Here is a 19641-nt window from a genome sequence, read left to right on the forward strand (position 1 = left end):
AATGCAATGGAAGATACTTAGAAGTAAACAAAATAGAGAGGTATATGTAGATTTTCTTAGGTCATTAGTTTGTGTCTTTGTCTGGTAGGCTGAAACTACTGTCATATGACTCTCTCCCTGGCCAGATTTTAATAGTCATACTAATACTGATGTGAATCCTGATAATTAAACTATCTTGTCATTACATTTGTAGATAAAGTTTTGGTTAGAAATGATTTTGTATGTGTTAGGTATGGTAATACAGTCTCAAATAAAAGGTCATGTTAAGATAAAAGGTCATGCTTACTTTTTAATTAATTTGTGTAATAAAATTTAGGTCTTTGGAAAACTTATTTTTCAAATAAATGAACCTTTCAAATAAAAAAGAGAATTAGTTTAACCTTTATCTCATTTCCTATTATAGGGGTATTGAATGGACAAGTTTGACTAGTTTTCTTTCTTTTGCTACCTCAACACCAAACAATATGGGATTAGTGAGAAATGAACTTCAACTGGTTGATCTTCCAACAGGTTTGTTTTTAAAGATCCAAATAGGTTTGTCATATTGAATAAACATGTTGCCATTTATAAAACATGTTTGAAAGTACTTCTTTCACCTTGGAATTTTTTTTTATATTTCATGCTTATATATTTATTCTTTTATTCTCTAATAATTGCCCTAGAAAGGCCTCATCATTGTTTACATGGAAATGTTGTTGGCACAAATACATGGTAAAATGGAGGACCATTAGCCTGAACAGACAGATTCATTAAAAAATAGGATACCGGTTCTACTTTTAAGTGCATTGTTATATGTAACCAACTTTAAAAGATCGATTTAAAAATAACTCTGTCAATGGACTTTATTAGAGTCTGTGCTGGAAATTTTGGCTTTTATAGGAAACACTTAGAAAATTTATAGGTTAAGGATTGTTTTTAAATGCTCAAATTTAAAACTTGTAATAGTCTCTGGCTGAATGAATAGAGAAACTTAATTTGGGATTTTGAAGATTCTACAGTAGGAAACGTCCCAATAAGGTAACTTTTTCAGAATTGAAAGCCTAAACCCAGTGAATTTCAAAATAAAGAATTTGAAAATATAATAAGGAAAGAGTTTCAAATTATTTTCTGGTGTATGCAGTAGTTTCAAAGAGGTTTTTTTAAAAATAAAATTGTGATGAGTTTCTTTAAAATGGTATAGCAACACGAATCATATGTAGATGATCTTAACCAATGAGAGCATGTGTATGTATGTGTAAAATGAATTAAATCAAATAAATGGTTGTAAATCAAGTAAGTTGTAAATAAATGAAGTACATGGTTGCTTTTTTATGTTCTCCATATGTATTTTCAAGCTCTCAAAGATCCAGTTGTTCTTACTTCTCAGGGTATGTTGCTGAACTTCCAGGAATCATTCCCGTCTTTAGTCCAGTGTTGCTGCTCTAGTCTCATTGGAAGTGACCTGTCCACTGACTCTCATCCCCAAGTTCCTAATTTGCCAGCAGAATGGTACTGGCCCTGTGTCTAGTGATCCCAGGGATAAAATGCTGTTGTCTAGTATCATTGACTTAAAAAAAAGAAAAAAAATCCCTGTTTTATTTGTTTTGGTCAGCTCAAGTTCAGGACTGTTAGATAACTTAAAATCTGCTTTGCACAGATGTATTTTTAAGGAACAAACATCTACAGTAACAGTTACAGATTTCCTTAAGTGGGATATTTGAGTTCATAGATGGTAGACTTTTATAGCCTGGGCTTCTAAGGAGGGCAGCAGACTAGTGCAGTCAGGACAGGACATGGGCTGTTTGGGGTATAATAATAGTGAGTATAGTGAGATTCCACATGATGGAATCTCAACAAAGAGTAGGAAGGCGTTTAGGCCTTCAGTTGTCCTTGAATTGAGTATGTTCTCTCTTTTGTTTAATGTAGATAAAAATCTAACACAAGATACTAAAACATACAAGGTAGAATTTATACTTTTTTTATTCACAGAAAATCATGTAACTTCCTTTGCGGGTAACTCATTCTTTCACAGCATACATGAACACCGTAGTTATTCCCTAGTTTCCAGTTTATAAAGATGTTTTGAGAGGAACATGTTCAAAATATTTAACTAGTATTTTGCACATGGGACAAGAAGATCTTAAATACATGTTTCAAGAGTTTTTCCCCCACTAGTTAGTATTTGGAAACATGGGAATGTTTGTATTAAATATTACTTTAAATAAGTAGTTTTCGCACCAGACAATTGCTGTACCATAAATATCTTAAAACTTAACATTGTTTTTTTAAATTTCTAAAATTGAATTATAGAATTCAAGAAACTGTGTGACAAATGAAAATGCCTTTTTACAAAATAAATATCTGAATATGTGATATATTATTGATCATTAGTTTGTAACACTTTTAAGAATATTCTTTGAACTTACATTATTAGAAACAGCTTAGAAGGAACTGGGCGCCGTGGCTCACACCTGTAATCCCAGTGCTTTGGGAGGCTGAGGCAGATGGATCACTAGAGGTTAGGAGATCGAGACCAGCCTGGCCAACATGGTGAAACCCCATCTCTACTAGGAGTACAAAAATGAGCTGGCGTGGTGGCGAGCGCCTGTAATCCCAGCTACTCGGGATGCTAAGGCAAGAAAATCACTTGAACCTGGGAGGCGGAGGTTGCAGTGAGCCAAGATTGCGCCATTGCACTCCAGCCTGGGTAACAAAGTGAGACCATCTCAAAAAAAAAAACCCGAAAAAACAGAAACAGATTAGAAGCAAATGGAAGAATGAATAGGAGAACAGAGGGTAGGATGGGTAGGACTGATCAAATTACATTGGCGTGGCTTCTTGTTTTTCATACATGTTTTATGCACTGTTCTCACTTTTTTAAATATTTGCAATTAAAGGTAGGAGCATTGCTTTTCGTGGTGAAAGAGGCAATGATGAATCTGCCATCGAAATGATTAAAGTATCTCATTTGAAGTAAGTGTCAACCTAAAAAAAAATCTATGGTGTTATCACAATGAAATCTCGTGGATTTTTTTAATCTTTAAGAAAATGGGAATGTGCTGGAATGCATATGGAATCTTTTTAGTGATAGCAAATGGTGATATGCAGCCCAAAGAAAATATTTTGATTACAAAATTAAGTTGCTATCACTTTTAATTCTCTACTTCTAAAAAGATGAAGTAACTTTTGCATGAATCGTTATTTACTTTCGGATAAAGTTCTTATGTACTTCTATCTAAGCATGGAGTTACTGAGTGAAAGAACTCATTTTCTTTATGTATAATTTAAACTCATTTTGCTTCCAGAAATTGAGTTTTTTTGTTTCAGGGGAAAATAACATGTAAAGCAGTATTATTAAAAATAGAAACTGAATGAAAATCAATCAAAATTACAAAGAAAGAGTAAGCTTTCTAAAGTAGTTTTCAAACTTGTTTTGGCTTTTCTAAGATCTTTGCATTTCCATATAAATTTTAGAATCAGACTATCAGTTTTATCAAAAAATCTTCCTGAGATTTTGATTGGGATTGCATTGAACCCATCAATCAGTGAGGGGAAGAATTGGTATCTTAACAAGTTTTGTAACTCATGAACATGGTATGTCTCTCCACTTATTTAGGTCTTTTAAAATTTCAGCAATATTTTGTAGTTTTCAGTGTGTAAGTCTTACATATTATTTGTTTATTTTGTGTTTTCTTTGATGCTTTTATAAATGACATTTTTAAATTTCAATTATTTATTATTTGTATATTAAAATACAGTTAATTTTCTGATATTGACCTTGTGCCTTGTGACCATGCTAAGCTTAGTTATTACTTCTAGTATAGGTGCTTTTGTTAATTCTTTAGGATTTTCTATAGAGACAGTCTCGTTTGCTAGTAAAGACATCTTTACATCTTTTCGATCTATAGGCCTTCTTTTTGCTTGCACTAATTAGGACCTCCTGTATAGTGTTGATTAGAACTGAGATGTCAGCTACGAGCTGACATCTTTGCTCTGATCCTGGACCTTATGGAGAAAGCATTCAGTCTTTCAACATTAAGTATGATACTAGCTGTAGATTTTTTGTATATTTCCTTTATCAAGTTGAAAAAGTTTTATTCCTAGTTTGCTGAGCCTTTGTATTATGAGTAGGTGTTGAATTTATCAAATGCTTTTTCTGTATTCATTGATATCATCATATGGTGTGTGTGTGTTATTTTGTTTTTCTTTTTGAAGTTCACTAATATGGTGAATTACATTGATTGATTTTCAGATGTTAAGCCAACATGACATTCCCGGAATAAACTCTAGTTGGTCGTGATGTATTACTGTTTTGACATATTGCTGGATTTGATTTATTGATATATTATTAAGAGTTTTATGATATATTATTAAGAGTTTTTATATCTATGTTCATGAAGGATATTGGTGTCGTTTTTATGTAATATCCTTTGTTTTGGTATCAGGGTAATACTGACCTTGCAGAACGTGTTGTAAAGTATTCTCTCTCCTTTTTTTTTGAATGAGTTTGTGTAGAATTGATATTATTCTTACTAAATGGGAAAAATTTATTAGGAAACCCATCTGAACCTAAAATTTTCTTTGTGGCAAAGTTTTTAAATACAAATTCAGTTTTGTTTTTTTTTTTCATAAATATAGGACTATTTAGATTCTCTTTTTTTGAGCTTTGGTAATTGGTGTCTTCCAAGTAATCTGTCCATTTTGTTGAAGTTGCTGAGTTTATTAATTTATTGAAATAAGCTTGTTCATCATGGATCTATGATCAGTGATTATCTTTCCCACTCCTAATATCAGTAAATTATATCAACCAATTTTATTTATTGATCTTTTCCAAGAAACTACTTTTGATTCATTTGATTCTTCTCTATGATTTTTCCATTTTCAATTTCATTGTCTGTCATGCTTATCTTTTGTTCTTCTGCTTACTTTTTAAATATGCTCTCCTTTTTTTACATAGTTTTCTAAAATAGAAACTTAGATAATTGAATTAAGTTGATTCTCTAAAATGTAATGTAAACAGTTAATGCTATATGAGCACCAGTTTTCCTGTATCCTACAATTTTTGTTATGGTTATATGTTTTCATTTTAATTCACATTATAATCTTTAAAAATTTCCATGGGGTGTTATTCAGAGGTATATTTTTTAACTTCAAACTATTTGGGTGTTTTGCCAGGTATCTTTCTGTAAATTTCTACTTTCTGTTGGGGTCACACATGGTCCTGAGTGGAAGAATCTCAGTCCTTTGATACAGGGAGTACAGGGATCTTCCTACTCTGTCACATTTCCTCTATGTCAGCCATCATTTGCTGATAATATTTTAGTTCCTCATAATGCTTATTGAGTAATCAGTGCTCAAATTATATTTGTTGAATTGCACTCGTTGATGTCATTCAGTACTTCTTTCAGGCTTAACAGAAAGTGAATAAAGTGGCATTTGTTGAATACCAACTGTAGTAGAATGATAGAAACTTTACATACTTTTTCATTGAATGTTTACCATAATCTGTATATCAATTAATTGAGGTACATGATGAGATTCTCCTGTCATGTGTGAGAAGTTGAGCCTCAGGAGGGTTAACATAAGTTGTGGCATCAGGGTTTGAATCTATGCCACTCTTTCTTCCAAGTTGGACTCCTTGCCTAATTGTGTGAGACTGTATGTTCTCTTACAGGTCACTTAGAGCTTTACCTTCTTATGACTGTTAATCATGGTGCTAAATGGTAGTTTAAATTGTCTATATTTAGAATGCGTCAGCTGAGTTTTTCAATTTACTGAACTTTTTATTTGCTCTAATTCATGGTGAAATTTTTGCAAAAAGGGGCTTATTTAGTAATTTTGTTTATTTTAGGCAGTATTTGGCAGTCGTATTCAGAGATAAACCCCTGGAGCTATGGGATGTTAGGACTTGTACCCTTCTTAGAGAGATGTCCAAAAACTTCCCTACAATAACTGCTTTGGTAAGTTACAATTTAAGAATTTAATAGCTTATTTAGGTATATATGTATGTGGTGAATGTTTTGCTTAAGCTTGAATCAAAATCATTACTGCCAATGTCATTTTTTTGGTTAAAAATGTGTGTTCAGAGAAGATGATCTAAATAAATGGAGATAATTCTTATTTTCTTGGATAAATCAACCTAATATCATATTAGTGCAATTCCAATTCAAGTTTCATTTGGATATTTTGAGGAATATGGTAAACATATTCAAAAATGTTTATGAAAGAATAAAGGTCCTAAATAGCTAAGTCATCCTTGAATAAAGAGGAGTAAATGTGGGAGGTGTGGGTGGGGTTGGCCCTTCCTACCTGATATTAGTACATCTTACAAAACCATGGAAATAAAATCAGTATTGTATTGGCACAAGAATAGAAAGTGAGTCAACCTAATAAAGAGCTCAGGAACAGACCCATGAATATTTGGGGACTTAATATACAGTAAAGTAGCACAAATCAAAGAGGATGGACAGACTGTGTAGTAGACGGTGTTGGGAAAACTGTCTCACTTTATGGAGAAAAATACTTGATCTCTACTTAATACCGTATAGAGAAGTGAGTGTCACAGGACTAAAGACCTAAATGTAAAAATGTAAAGCTATAAAATTGAATATAACAAAATACAAAATATTGCTGTGACCTAGAGGCAGGAGGAGACATCAGAAGCTCAAACCAAAAGGCAAAAAAAAAAAAGAAACAATGCATTTAATTAATCAAGATTAATGCTTTTTGTTTGATGAAGATGTCAAAGTTAAATACAGAAGACATTTTGGGAAAACAAATTTTCCAGTGTCTAAATTTAACTAGAAACTCCTGCAAGTCAACAGTGAAAAAAAGCGGGAACCCTAGTGAGAAAATGAACAAAGTCTGTGAAGAGCTAATGAGAGGCAGAGAAACCTAAAAGGCCAACAAGCCATATAAAGGAATGTTCAAACTCATCAGTTTTCAGAGATGTTCAAACCATGATATGGATCTACCGTTTAGACTAACAAAAACTGGACAGCCATATAGTGTTAAGTACGGGTGGAACATAGGGTATGGGAATCCTTGTGCATTGCTGGTAGGAATGTAGACCAATGCAGCCATTCTGTAAAGCACGCTGGCAGCACTTGGGCAAACACAGACATCTTCTGTGTCCGCTGAGCTCTTGGTCGTAAATGAACTTTTGCAAGGATATTGACTGGTGTGTTTTGTCATGATGTGAGTTTGGAGACCATCTGTGTGTTTTTACTGAGAGAGGAGACAGATTAACAATTGGCTGATGCACCCATGGAGTATTACGTAGCATGCAGAAACAGGAGGAAGAGGACTTAAATACAGTGGAAAGAGTAAGAAACAGGATGAAGTATATATATATATATACACACACACACACACACACACACATATAAACACAATACTATTTAGGTAAATTAGATAATAACTACATGTTAAGAACTTATACATATGCGAGGATATTGGACTAAAAGGCTTTACAATAGGTGGAATATAAAAGAATATATAAATAAAACAAGTGATTTTGGAGGAATCTATGGATGATAAAGGACCCTGGTTCGAGAACTGTGATTGTCTTATCGTGTGCACATAAGAGATGGGGGAGGAGACGAGGAATAGGCAATACTATCATTGAATTCATTATTTTCATTTTGTAAGTATTTTATAAAAACATCAAAAGGTCAGACCTTTTGGAAGTTTGCCATAAAAGCTCCAATTAAAATGCATTCATTTAGCCTTTCTCTAAGTAGGTAAAATCTAAAGAACAAATGTGGATTCATGTGTAGTAATAATAAATGATACTGGGCAGTGGTGTGTGTGCCCAGCTCTTCTGGACGATTCTTTGACAGAAGGAAACCTAGCACTTCTAGGTTTGTCTGCATTTGCTTTACAGGAGTGGTCACCATCTCACAACTTGAAGAGCCTGAGAAAGAAGCAACTTGCAACTCGAGAGGCCATGGCCCGCCAGACCGTAGTCTCAGACACAGAGCTGAGTATTGTTGAATCATCTGTGATCAGGTACAGTACAGTGTTTCTTGACACTGTCATTTGTGCCATTAGCATCATGTCTGGGAAGTTGACAAGTATCATCGGAAGGTGTCTATGGTAGCAAGTTGGACTCTGCTTTTGAACATACTTAGTTTCATCTTTCAGTACATACCCAGATTACTAAAAAGATAATTTTATCATTTTTAGTATTGTACTATACTGTTTGTTATAACTAATAACATATGCAGTAATATTCACCCATCAGCATCTAGTAGTAAATGTGCTCATTCCGAGTGCCCTTCTACTCCATACACTTCAGCTTCTGAAATTCAAATGAACATAGCATAGACATACAGATAGATCATATTATCATTTATACACACCAAAGAAAATGTGTTGGGAATCCTAAATTTGTGTATCATCCCCATCCATACCAATCTTACAGATAAAAGGCTTCAGAGATAATGTTGGGTCACTGTACAGCCTCCCTTCTGTTGAGCACAGTTCTATAGCCAAAATCTCTATGAATTTTATTTTTCTTGTGTTAAGTTTAGATCACCATTTCTCTCTGTGCAGGGTAAACTTCCTCTGATGTTGTGGCTGTTAAGGAGTGATTCATGTTTACCCATAATTAGCTGGGCAAATATTAGTTTCAGACTTTTAAAAAAATAGTTTTGGACCTCCTCTTAATGCGTCTGTACTTTGGGCAAGTTAATTAATTATGAGTATCACTCTAGGGGAAAAAAAAACATCTTTATCATATGTTTCACTATCCCAAAGCTTGCTGCAGGAGGCAGAAAGTAAATCTGAACTTAGTCAGAACATCTCTGCCCGGGAACATTTTGTATTTACCGATATTGATGGCCAAGTGTATCATCTCACTGTTGAAGGAAACTCAGTAAAAGACAGTGCTCGGATTCCACCAGATGTGAGTACAACCTTGATTAAATCTTCATCAAGAAGATTTTGTTTTGTTGGTTCCATATCCAGTGAAGGCATAGTTAAGTTGGAAACTTCAGAAAAGCCTAATGTAAATAAACTTTATTTAAGGAGATATTATCGATTAAACTTGTTCCATACTGCTAGAGAATAACGCTGTAACTATTTTGATTAAATGTTTACTGTGTGCTACTCATTTTTATCCCTGTAATAATCCATGAGGAGTTATCTCCATTTTACCCATAACAAAACTGTGGGAGAATAAGTAACTTTCCCAAAGTTATCCAGCTTACTCATATGGCAGAGCAGTGTTTTAAACTCAGGCCTGTCTGACTTCAGTATCTGTCTTCTTTCCATTTCAGGCATTACCCTGAAGGATTTGACTTACAATCTAGTATTATTTTTGGATAATAGTAATCAGGTTGTAAGTGTAATAGTATTATTAACATTTACTAACTTACATATATTCTTATGGCCTTGTGGAATCTGTAACTAAAGTTTTGCCATTAATCATTTGTGTCAGCATGCATCTCATAGATAGTTTTTAATAGATGGATCATGAAAATGTTTATGTTAATTAATGCAGGCTATTATAATGGTTAAATGAAGGCATGAGGGGATTTTTTAAAATAGGTATATTTATTTTAAATTGCTATCTAAAAATGGAATGCTCTAGTAGAATGCCAACCCCCATAATTTTATAGGTGGCTTTGGGGTCTCATAAAGTTACAATCTAGATGTTGGCTGTGGCTACAGTCTTTTGAAGTGTAATGGGACAGAAGGATCTATTTCCAAGTTGGCTGCCTCACAGGCTATTGCACATTAATGCTGGCTGTTGACGAGGGACCTTAGTTCTTCATGTCGATCTTTCCATAAGGCTGCTTGAGTGTCCTCACGACATGACAACTGGCCTCCCCTAGAGTAAGTGATCTGATAAAGCAAGAAGGAAGTTGCAGAGTCTATTATGACCTGGTTTCAGAAGTCTCTTCAAAGGCAACTTCTTAATTAAACATTCTATTTTATGGCTAGGAAAGTAGATATCTTAAAATGTTGCTTCATATTATATACAGAATTTCATTTCTTTAATATTTTTTTTTATTAATGGACTTTATTATAATATTGATTTTTAAATCCAGTTTTTGTTTTGTTTCTTGACTATTACCAGAGTTTTTACGGTATTCAGTGTGTGTGCTAGTCCACTAATGGTCAATTATTCAAACCACTAGAGTTTTCTTACTTTTTACCATGGATACCATTTGAATTTTTATGTTGTACAATAAATGCAAAAATAAAATTTCTTTTAATAAATAGAGAAGTAATTGAGCAGTAATATTATTTAATAGCTAACATGTATTGACTATTTACTGCATGGCAGGCATTGCTTTAAGGCCTTTGCCTTTATAAATTTATTAATACTAGCAACAACTCAAGTTTCATGAACTTACCCTACTTTATGGACAATAAATCCAAGACAGAAAGGTTAAGTAAACATGCCTCAAATCACATACCAGTTTCAAGCTGGGATTCAAGCCCAGGCAGTGTGACTGCAGAGCCCAGGCTGCTGAGCCCTCCATGATACCACCTCTGAGCATCTATTAGAACTGCAAGTTCCTTTCTTCCTCCAAGTTAGATTGACTACAGCAGCATTTCATTCTTATGTTGTGCTTCTATATGTAACTTCTGAGCAAAGCTTTCTGTGAATTTAAACTGCATATGCCTTTAGTAAACAGCATCTCTTCACCTTCATGATTCCACAATGTTCCAAAACGTGTCAGTGAAGCTCTGGATCCTTTTTTCAATAGAAAAATCACGGCACAATTAGTTATAAAAGAGCTTTAAGTTTCCCTTGGAATGGATTTAGTTATCCTTTTGCAGTGAGAGATAAGTTTGAGTTGGCTCTCTGGAAAACCTTCCCTTTACTTCTCTGTTTTTCTTACTTTAATTTCCCCCTTTTTTTTTTGAGGTATTTGTTCCTCAAAAGACATCCCCTCTCTTTAAATCTAGTTCCAGTAACTACTTAATGTCTATGAAGTTGAAATCTCCTATTTCTTCATAGTTGAAATTGATAGGCAATGTAGCTCTTTGTTAGTGTCTAAAGTCTGTTTTAGGATTTGATGACTAAAAGCATACTAAAGCACAGCCCTTTAAATTAAGTTTTATTAAAATATTTATTATAATGTCTTATACAGCATAGTGAAATTTATATTTGTTTGTTGCTGTTGTTTTCTAGGGAAGTATGGGTAGTATTACCTGCATCGCTTGGAAAGGTGATACATTAGTGCTTGGAGATATGGATGGAAATTTAAATTTCTGGGACTTGAAAGGCAGAGTATCCAGGTATAAGCCAAGAATGAAATCTTGTTATTTCATTAAAAAAAAGAAATGAAATCTTTTTGTTTTGTTTTGTTGAGATGGTGTCTTGCTCTGTCGCCCAGGCTGGAGTGCAGTGGTGCAATCTCGGCTCACTGCAAGCTCTGACTCCCGGGTTCATGCCATTCTCCTGCCTCAGCCACCCGAGTAGCTGGGACTACAGGCACCCACCACCACGCCCGGCTAATTTTTTTGTATTTTTTTAGTAGAGACGGGATTTCACCATGTTAGCCAGGATGGTCTCGATCTCCTGACCTCGTGATCCGCCCACCTCGGCCTCCCAAAGTGCTGGGATTACAGGCAGGAGCCAGCACACCCGGCCAAAAAATGACATCTTGATATGGTTCCATTAGAGGCTTGTGACTTGGCAAGAAGGATCAGTAAACTCGTGGAGGTGTAGCTTGGACCCTTGGGTCCCTTCACCTAAACTTGGGAGGATGGGCCTTGAGCCAAGCATTCTTAGGAGATAGTTATCTGCAAGTGGCCCCTGCAGAAGTCTTAGCTGACCTTAAAGGGCAGGCCCTTTCTGTCAGATGTGGCCCCCAGTCCCAGCAAGTAAAGGGTTCTCCCATCATCAGACCTGTTAGAAATGGAAATAGTGAGAGATGTTAGACATAGCTTCTGGTGACCAGATCTCACTCTACATTGTATTGATGTTTTTGTTTCTTTGTCTTCAGAGGAATACCCACACACCGAAGTTGGGTGAGGAAGATTCGTTTTGCTCCTGGTAAAGGAAATCAAAAATTAATAGCAATGTACAATGATGGAGCTGAAGTGTGGGATACTAAAGAGGTAGGCCCTCTCCATGAGGATAAAACGTAAATAAATTGTTAGCCATAGGAACTGTGCTTTGTTAAAAAACTTCTTTCTGATTTAGAAATGAAAAGTACTTAATGAGTTCGTCAAGTTTCCCATAACAAATTATTTTCTTTACTTTACAGTATTTGTGTTCTAAAGGTAACAACTCAAGATTTATTTATTTATTTATTTATTTATTTTTATTTTTTATTTTGATATGGAGTTTCACTCTTGTCGCCCAGGCTGGAGTGCAATGGCGCGATCTCGACTTATTGCAGCCTCCACCTCCTGGGTTCAAGTGACTCTCCTGCCTCAGCCTCCCTAGTAGCTGGGATTATAGGCATGTGCCACCACGCCCGGCTAATGTTTTGTATTTTTAGTAGAGACAGGGTTTCGCCATGTTGGGCAGGCTGGTCTCAAACTCCTGACCTGAGGTGATCTGCCCGCCTCAGCCTCCTAAAGTCCTGGGATTATAGGCGTCAGCCACCGCGCCCAGCCGATTTATTTATTTTTTAATATTATCACTGTCTCTGAGACCTTTAAAATGCTGCCTATTTGTGGAAGATAGATTGCCAGAGGCTGTTCAGTTCTAAACTTGAACTGGGCCTTTGCCACAGACTGTCTTCCTTGACCATTTAATCTAGAATAATAAAGATCTTCCTTTTCTGTCTGGAAGTGATGCCCAAATTCACTCTTGAAGGTTCAGATGGTGAGCAGTTTAAGAAGTGGCAGAAATGTGACCTTTCGTATATTGGATGTGGACTGGTGTACGTCAGATAAAGTGATCTTGGCCTCAGATGATGGGTGCATCAGAGTCCTAGAGATGTCTATGAAGTCTGCGTGCTTTAGAATGGATGAACAAGAGTTAACCGGTATGGAATCCTAATGATAGGGGGCTTTGAAACCTGTCTTTACTTTGCCACAAGCTCTTGTATTTTGGGGAGAGAGCTGCTGCTTCTGTTTCATTTCAGTCTTATTTTCTTAGAATCTGAGTTTAAGAAAATATATTAACTTGAAGCTTGAGTGTTTTTACTGCTGAGATGCTGCAATCTTTGTAACTATAGATGTCAATCATTCTCAATTCAGGTTTTTTAAGTGCCCCTTTTGACTCTTTTCTTTGGTTTGTTAACAAGATAAAAGATGTTTATGTTTATAAAAATGGCTTACTCAGAATTTAGGCAAACTCATCAGAGGACATAAATCTAGTGATAAGGCTGCTGGCTTTTTAATAATGGCCTTATGTCTTTTGCAACCATATATCATTGAAAAGTCACTTTAGAAAGTGTTCTGAGTATTATGAATTTTGATGCCAATCTGTGACTAGTAAAATGACCAGTCAAGCAAATTAGCAGATTGCAGTATCTTGCTCTGTTTTGTATGGTTGTTTTGACATTGCTTTTTACCAGAATAAAAAGCATTTTAGTAGAATATACTCCATATATGACTTCTAAAAAAAAAAAGAATGGGACAATTGTGAATGCATCCATTTATCAGTTTAAAAGGCAGCTTTTGGCTGATGCAATACAGTGTTCATCCTTGGAAGATACTTGATCCTACTTGGAGTGGAGGAGGGAACTTCTTGCCTGAGTATTCTCCCAGCAAAACTTTGGTGCACACTCTAGGCTGATATGTAGAAAATTTCATGAGACTTTTCTGAACCTTTGTAGAGTCAATATTTGGCACTTCAGACACAGTAAGGTTTTAAAAACCTGGTTTTTCACTTTGTGTTCATGCTTGAGGCACTACTGAGTTGCTGCTAATGTTAGCAGGGCTGCCTTTAACTTAGTTAGGTATGCTTTGGTTTTTGTCACTGCCCACCCCTGCCCACTGCATTTGGGCACCACCACTTCTTACTATGTAACTGACTGCCATCAGGTGAAGCCAGAATTCAAGACCTACATTCCCATGTCTGTCCTTGTGTCGTTTGCCAGCTCTGGGGAAGCACCAGGATGGCCTCCTAGGAAAGGGCAAGCATTGGTATTCATTTTAAACCTAAAGGTATTGAGGACATTGAAGGAACTTCAAGGGTGGTTTTTGAAAAAATTGGTTACTAATTCTAGATAAAGAAGTGTGGAACTGCTATCTAAATGTTTGAAGAGCTTTTCCTTCACTTTTAATATAAAATTTGAATCTAAAAAGCTCCAAAGTCAAGGTGTAGCTTGTTCTTAAATTAAACTGACTACAGAAATGGAGTCCATTGTATTAACCCATGTTCAATACCATACTTGAACATCTGGCCTGTGGCCAGATTTTAGATCACATGTTTCTTTTAAAATTTTTCTGATTTTTTTTTATATTCTTTTCAATCTCTAATGTTACAGCCTCAGCCAGAAAGAGAAAACTAAATAGCAATTGGGAAAGGTCATGCAATTGTGTATTCATTCCACAAATTGAACTTCAAATTCAGAACAACCCTTAATAAATGTTAAAGAATGAAAACTATGGTAGTGTAAATGTGGAGTGAGGAAAAAGACATCTGTGTGTTCACCTCCAGATTCATGGCCGATTTGGTCTTGAGGAAAAAAAGTTTGAGGTAGTATATTTCTATTCTGAGGAATTAGAAGTATATTTGGGGCTTACTGACATGGGATAAAAATAAAATAGGTCCTAACATTGGTGTTTCCTATGTTTTCTTCAATTCTCCTTGAAAACAAGTAGAGAACGTAAAATATTGATTCACATCTGTACATTTTCTTAGAGCAGCTTAGATAGGCCACTTCTTCCTCCAATAAAGAGGGGGCAGTCAGACAAATTAGAAGATTAGAATTCCTGTTTTTGAGTTGGAGAACCTTTCTTATCGGCTGCCTAATATGTCAGGGACACAAAGAGCCATCAAAATAAATCTTAATAGTCTTTTTAGCAGCATCTAAAAGGAATGCAAGAATATGAGACTGTTTAATAGCATTCTGGTATCATGCAGTTTCCACACCCTTTAAATAGTATTGACTTGATATCAGGGACTGTTCAACCTAATTTCCTCCCCAGTGTTTTTTTTTTTTAATTTTATTATTATTATACTTTAAGTTTTAGGGTACATGTGCACAACGTGCAGGTTTGTTACATATGTATACATGTGCCATGTTGGTGTGCTGCACCCATTAACTCATCATTTAGCATTAGGTATATCTCCTAATGCTATCCCTCCCCCCTCCCTCCACCCCACAACAGTCCCAGGTGTGTGATGTTCCCCTTCCTGTGTCCATGTGTTCTCATTGTTCAATTCCCATCTGTGAGTGAGAACATGCGGTGTTTGGTTTTTTGTCCTTTTGATAGTTTGCTGAGAATGATGATTTCCAGCTTCATCCATGTCCCTACAAATGACATGAACTCATCATTCTTTATGGCTGCATAGTATTCCATGGTGTATATGTGCCACATTTTCTTAATCCAGTCTATGATTGTTGGACATTTAGGTTGGTTCCAAGTCTTTGCTATTGTGAATAGTGCCGTAATAAACATACATGTGCATGTGTCTTTATAGTAGCATGATTTATAATCCTTTGGGTATATACCCAGTAATGGGATGGCTGGGTCAAATGGTATTTCTAGTTCTAGATCCCTGAGGAATCGCCACACTGACTTCCACAATGGTTGAACTAGTTTACAGTCCCACCAACAGTGTAAAAGTGTTCCTATTTCTCCACATCCTCTCCAGCACCTGTTGTTTCCTGACTTTTTAATGATTGCCATTCTAACTGGTGTGAGATGGTATCTCACTGTGGTTTTGAGTTGCATTTCTCTGATGGCCAGTGATGATGAGCATTTTTTCATGTGTTTTTTGGCTGCATAAATGTCTTCTTTTGAGAAGTGTCTGTTCATATCCTTCGCCCACTTTTTGATGGGGTTGTTTGTTTTTTTCTTGTAAATTTGTTTGAGTTCATTGTAGATTCTGGATATTAGCCCTTCGTCAGATGAGTAGGTTGCAAAATTTTTCTCCCATTCTGTAGGTTGCCTGTTCACTCTGATGGTAGTTTCTTTTGCTGTGCAGAAGCTCTTTAGTTTAATTAGATCCCATTTGTCAATTTTGGCTTTTGTTGCCATTGCTTTTGGTGTTTTAGACATGAAGTCCTTGCCCATGCCTATGTCCTGAATGGTATTGCCTAGGTTTTCTTCTAGGGTTTTTATGGTTTTAGGTCTAACATGTAAGTCTTTAATCCATCTTGAATGAATTTTTGTATAAGGTGTAAGGAAGGGATCCAGTTTCAGCTTTCTACATATGGCTAGCCAGTTTTCCCCTCCCCAGTGTTAAAGGCCACTGCTAAGCACATTTTTCCTAAGTAAGCATATATAGAAAGAAGCTTTCTGAAATCAGATTTCTGCACAAACCTTTCCTCTTCATCTGCCACAGCTTTCCACAGTCATTTTCGGTAATCTTGGGGCATTCAGAAATGTCTCACAATGACTTGCCGATGTGGGGAGGTCTGGGGATGCTAAACAACCTGGAACGATCTGGCGCAATGAAGAATTGTCCTGCCCCAAACGCCAGTAGTGTTCCTTAGCTCTCTTTTTCACCGTTCATTGAATCACACTGAACAAAATCACAAAATATGGTCCTTTCCTTCCCAGACTTCCAGCTCACCTTAATGTTGCCATTTCCAAGTGGTGGAGGAATAACTTTTTTCTACTGATTTTCTTCTTGGCTCTTTGCTTACTGATTTTCTGCATTCCTGTCATGTAGGTAGCTAAAAACCTGGGTGTTATGATTCATACCTCACATAACTTTAGCCCAGATGGAGCAGAATCCGTGACAAACAGCAATGATGCTAACTGCTTTTGCATTCTAATTGTGTAATTTTCAGAGGTGAATGAGCTCTTGCATGTGAGTTTCTCCAGATGTGAGATGATCTCCTATTACTTTTTCATGGCTGATCTTTACCTTTCAGAAGAAAGATTTCAATTCATTTGAGGGAGGGAAGTAGTTAAGGGTCACTTTCAGTTTGTTCATGCTCATTGGGATGCTGTCAACAATATTTTGCTTTTGGAGAAATAACATATTTGTTTTAAAAAATAAGGTATTTCCCTCCTTTTATTCAGACTTGGTAAATGTTGTCTTGCTTGCATGATGTAAACACTCGATGCTGCCTTCTACGTGGATTCTCTTGTATCTTTTCGTTTGTTCATTGATTAAGAAATTACCACACAGCATGAGAACTTTCCCTGAACCATTCCAAGATTATTATGTATAGTTAATTTTTTTCCCTGACATTTACCATTTCCAAACATACTGTGATATAATACCAACAACTATCTACATGAATCTACCTAAAACATATACATATGCTATCTAAAATATGAATGGGGCTGACTTGAGAATTATATAGATTGTCGTCTATGAAGGATGAATAGAAAGAAAGTTAAGTAAGCTAGCCACCTGCATCCCTTTCAGTGTTAAGTGTTCAGTGCTTCTGTAGGTAGTTAGATAAGCCTCATTTTTCCAAGATGCAATCCTTCCTTTATAGCCCAGATGTAAAAGAAAAGATGACTAAGTGGAAATTAAAAAAAAAAATTCAAAGCAAAAGAAAATCTTTAATAAGAATAAACGAAAGTGTTCAATAAGCAAAGCCAAATACAAATGATTACCTGGAGGAAAGTAATTCACAAGTCACAGACTGTCTACAGAGGGGCAAAACAGATAAACAAATGATGCTTCAACATATGAAATGATACTCAACTTTATTTATAATAAGAAAAATATTTGACCTCCTACTGGTAAGGATAAAAGAAGAAAATAATTTTAAAAAGTAAATTTTTAAAAAGAGAAAAATACAAATTAAAATTGTTTCTTACCTATCAGATTCAAAAGCTTGAAAATATACTCTGTTGGCAAGGCTATGAGGAAACAAGCACTCTCATCCATTGCTAACAGTAAGATCCCTATAGGAAGGAATTTGGCAATATCTAACAGAGCTACATGCACATTTACCTTTTTACCCAGCAATCCCAGCGCTAAGAATTTATCTTAAGATGTACATTCATACCCTGTGACCAAAATGCACACAAAGTTATTCATAGCAAAATTTTGAAAAAAGCCGAACTGCTTAGCCGTAGGAGATTGGTTGAATAAATCTGGGGACATCTGCAGAATGGAGTAATCTATGCAGCTGTAAAATAGTGAGGAATAGCTCTGTGACCTGATGTAGAGTGATATCCAGGATATGTGTAAGTGAAAAATGCAAGTGTAAAAGAGCACGTATAGCCTGCTTGTGTACAAAGGCGGATTTTATACATAGGTTCATGCACACGTTTGCTTACTAAAACACACACCACACATACACAGAATAATCCAGAAACCAATGAGAATAGTTAGAAGATGTAGATGGAAAAATGGAGAGTATGGGGATAGCAGTGAAACTTCTCTATCTTTGTTATACAGTTTCAAGTTTTGAACCATTTATATATTTTATATATTAAAAATACACAGTGAAAACAAGAGTGAAGAAAAAGCAAACCCTAAAATTGAATGCAAGACACAGTTGAACCAAACTGTGTAACAACAATATTGGTAACATAACCACACACACACACAAAAACAGTTCAAATAACTAAAACACAGAACTTCCCATTCACTGCACACCTTTAGTGGTTTATATTCTAAGGACAGAATTGCTAAGGAATGTTGAACTTTACCGGGGTAGTTGATGGTGACACTAGTAATTCTGAAGCTGTTTTGTGCATGTTGTAGTCTGGAACACATTAGTAACCAAATTGCAGTTTTGGGGAGCCAAGATCTGTGCTGATAGAAAGGGAGATATGGATGGGAAATGGCGGTGGTGGGAAGAAACATTCCAGGGGTGGATTTGGGTTGGTAAAAAATCATGACTTCTTGAACATGTATGTTCCCTGGCTCTGCTCACAGAGAGTTTTCTTGCAATGACACTCAATGGCAGTGAGCGCACATAGCACCCAGATTTTACTTTGCAAGTTCCATTTCCAGGCTAAAAGGAGCCAGAGCTCTTTGGACAAAAAGTTTATTTCAGGACAGAGGCACAAAAGGTGCAAGATGGGTCTGGGGCATCTTGTGGTGCCAGAATTCAAGTAAGGAATTGAAAAACCAAGGAGGACCTGACATAAGAGGCTTCTCCTGTCAAACTGGGGGTAGTCTGAGCATCACGAAAACTAATGGTGGTATTGATGTAAGTGCAGAATACCAAAGAAACCCTCACTCCATAGTAATAGTCACAGTAAGGAAACGGGAAGTGGGCAAGAAGCAAAAGCTCAGGTGGACAGAAGAATGCCAGCTGACAAATGCGGAAAGAATAAGATTAGAAAATCACCACTTTGCAGCCCCGATACAATAATTAATTGTATACACAAGCAAGGATCACTTGTGGATGTCAAATCACTGAGTAAAAGGATGTTTGAGAATAGGAAATTCAATCTGACAATATTTCCTCCACATATTACTTACTAATTAATTATACAGTGGAGAAGGTGCCCTGATAAGAGCTCTGGTGAATACCCCTTATCTAGATGATCAGATTTAGTGTTTCCTGTAACCAGACAGCTAACATGTTCCTTCTGATGCAATGCAGTGAAAAGTACACAGCATCCTTTGTTCAGACTCTGTCAAAAATG

General features: G+C 35.9%; 1 protein-coding gene across 6 annotated transcripts in view; it reads left to right on the plus strand.

The window, feature by feature from the left end:
• Positions 1-19641, plus strand: part of WDR11 (WD repeat domain 11) — a 58163-nt gene that overhangs the window by 26588 nt on the left and 11934 nt on the right. For 5 of the 6 annotated variants that reach the window (XR_428707.4, XM_005269963.3, NM_018117.12 and 2 more), the window contains 8 exons: positions 404-510; positions 2877-2952; positions 5831-5939; positions 7865-7989; positions 8740-8887; positions 11129-11235; positions 11946-12060; positions 12767-12938. Coding sequence is in view for 4 of the 6 variants with exons in the window: in XM_005269963.3 (XP_005270020.1) it covers positions 404-510; positions 2877-2952; positions 5831-5939; positions 7865-7989; positions 8740-8887; positions 11129-11235; positions 11946-12060; positions 12767-12938 (959 nt within the window). In the remaining 2 variants the exon portion in view is untranslated. The remainder of the gene's footprint in view (positions 1-403; positions 511-2876; positions 2953-5830; positions 5940-7864; positions 7990-8739; positions 8888-11128; positions 11236-11945; positions 12061-12766; positions 12939-19641) is intronic. The other variant, XR_007061973.1, reaches the window with a different exon arrangement.

The sequence above is a fragment of the Homo sapiens genome, chromosome 10 (assembly GCF_000001405.40).
Source record: "Homo sapiens chromosome 10, GRCh38.p14 Primary Assembly".
Classification (NCBI taxonomy): Eukaryota; Metazoa; Chordata; class Mammalia; order Primates; family Hominidae; genus Homo; species Homo sapiens.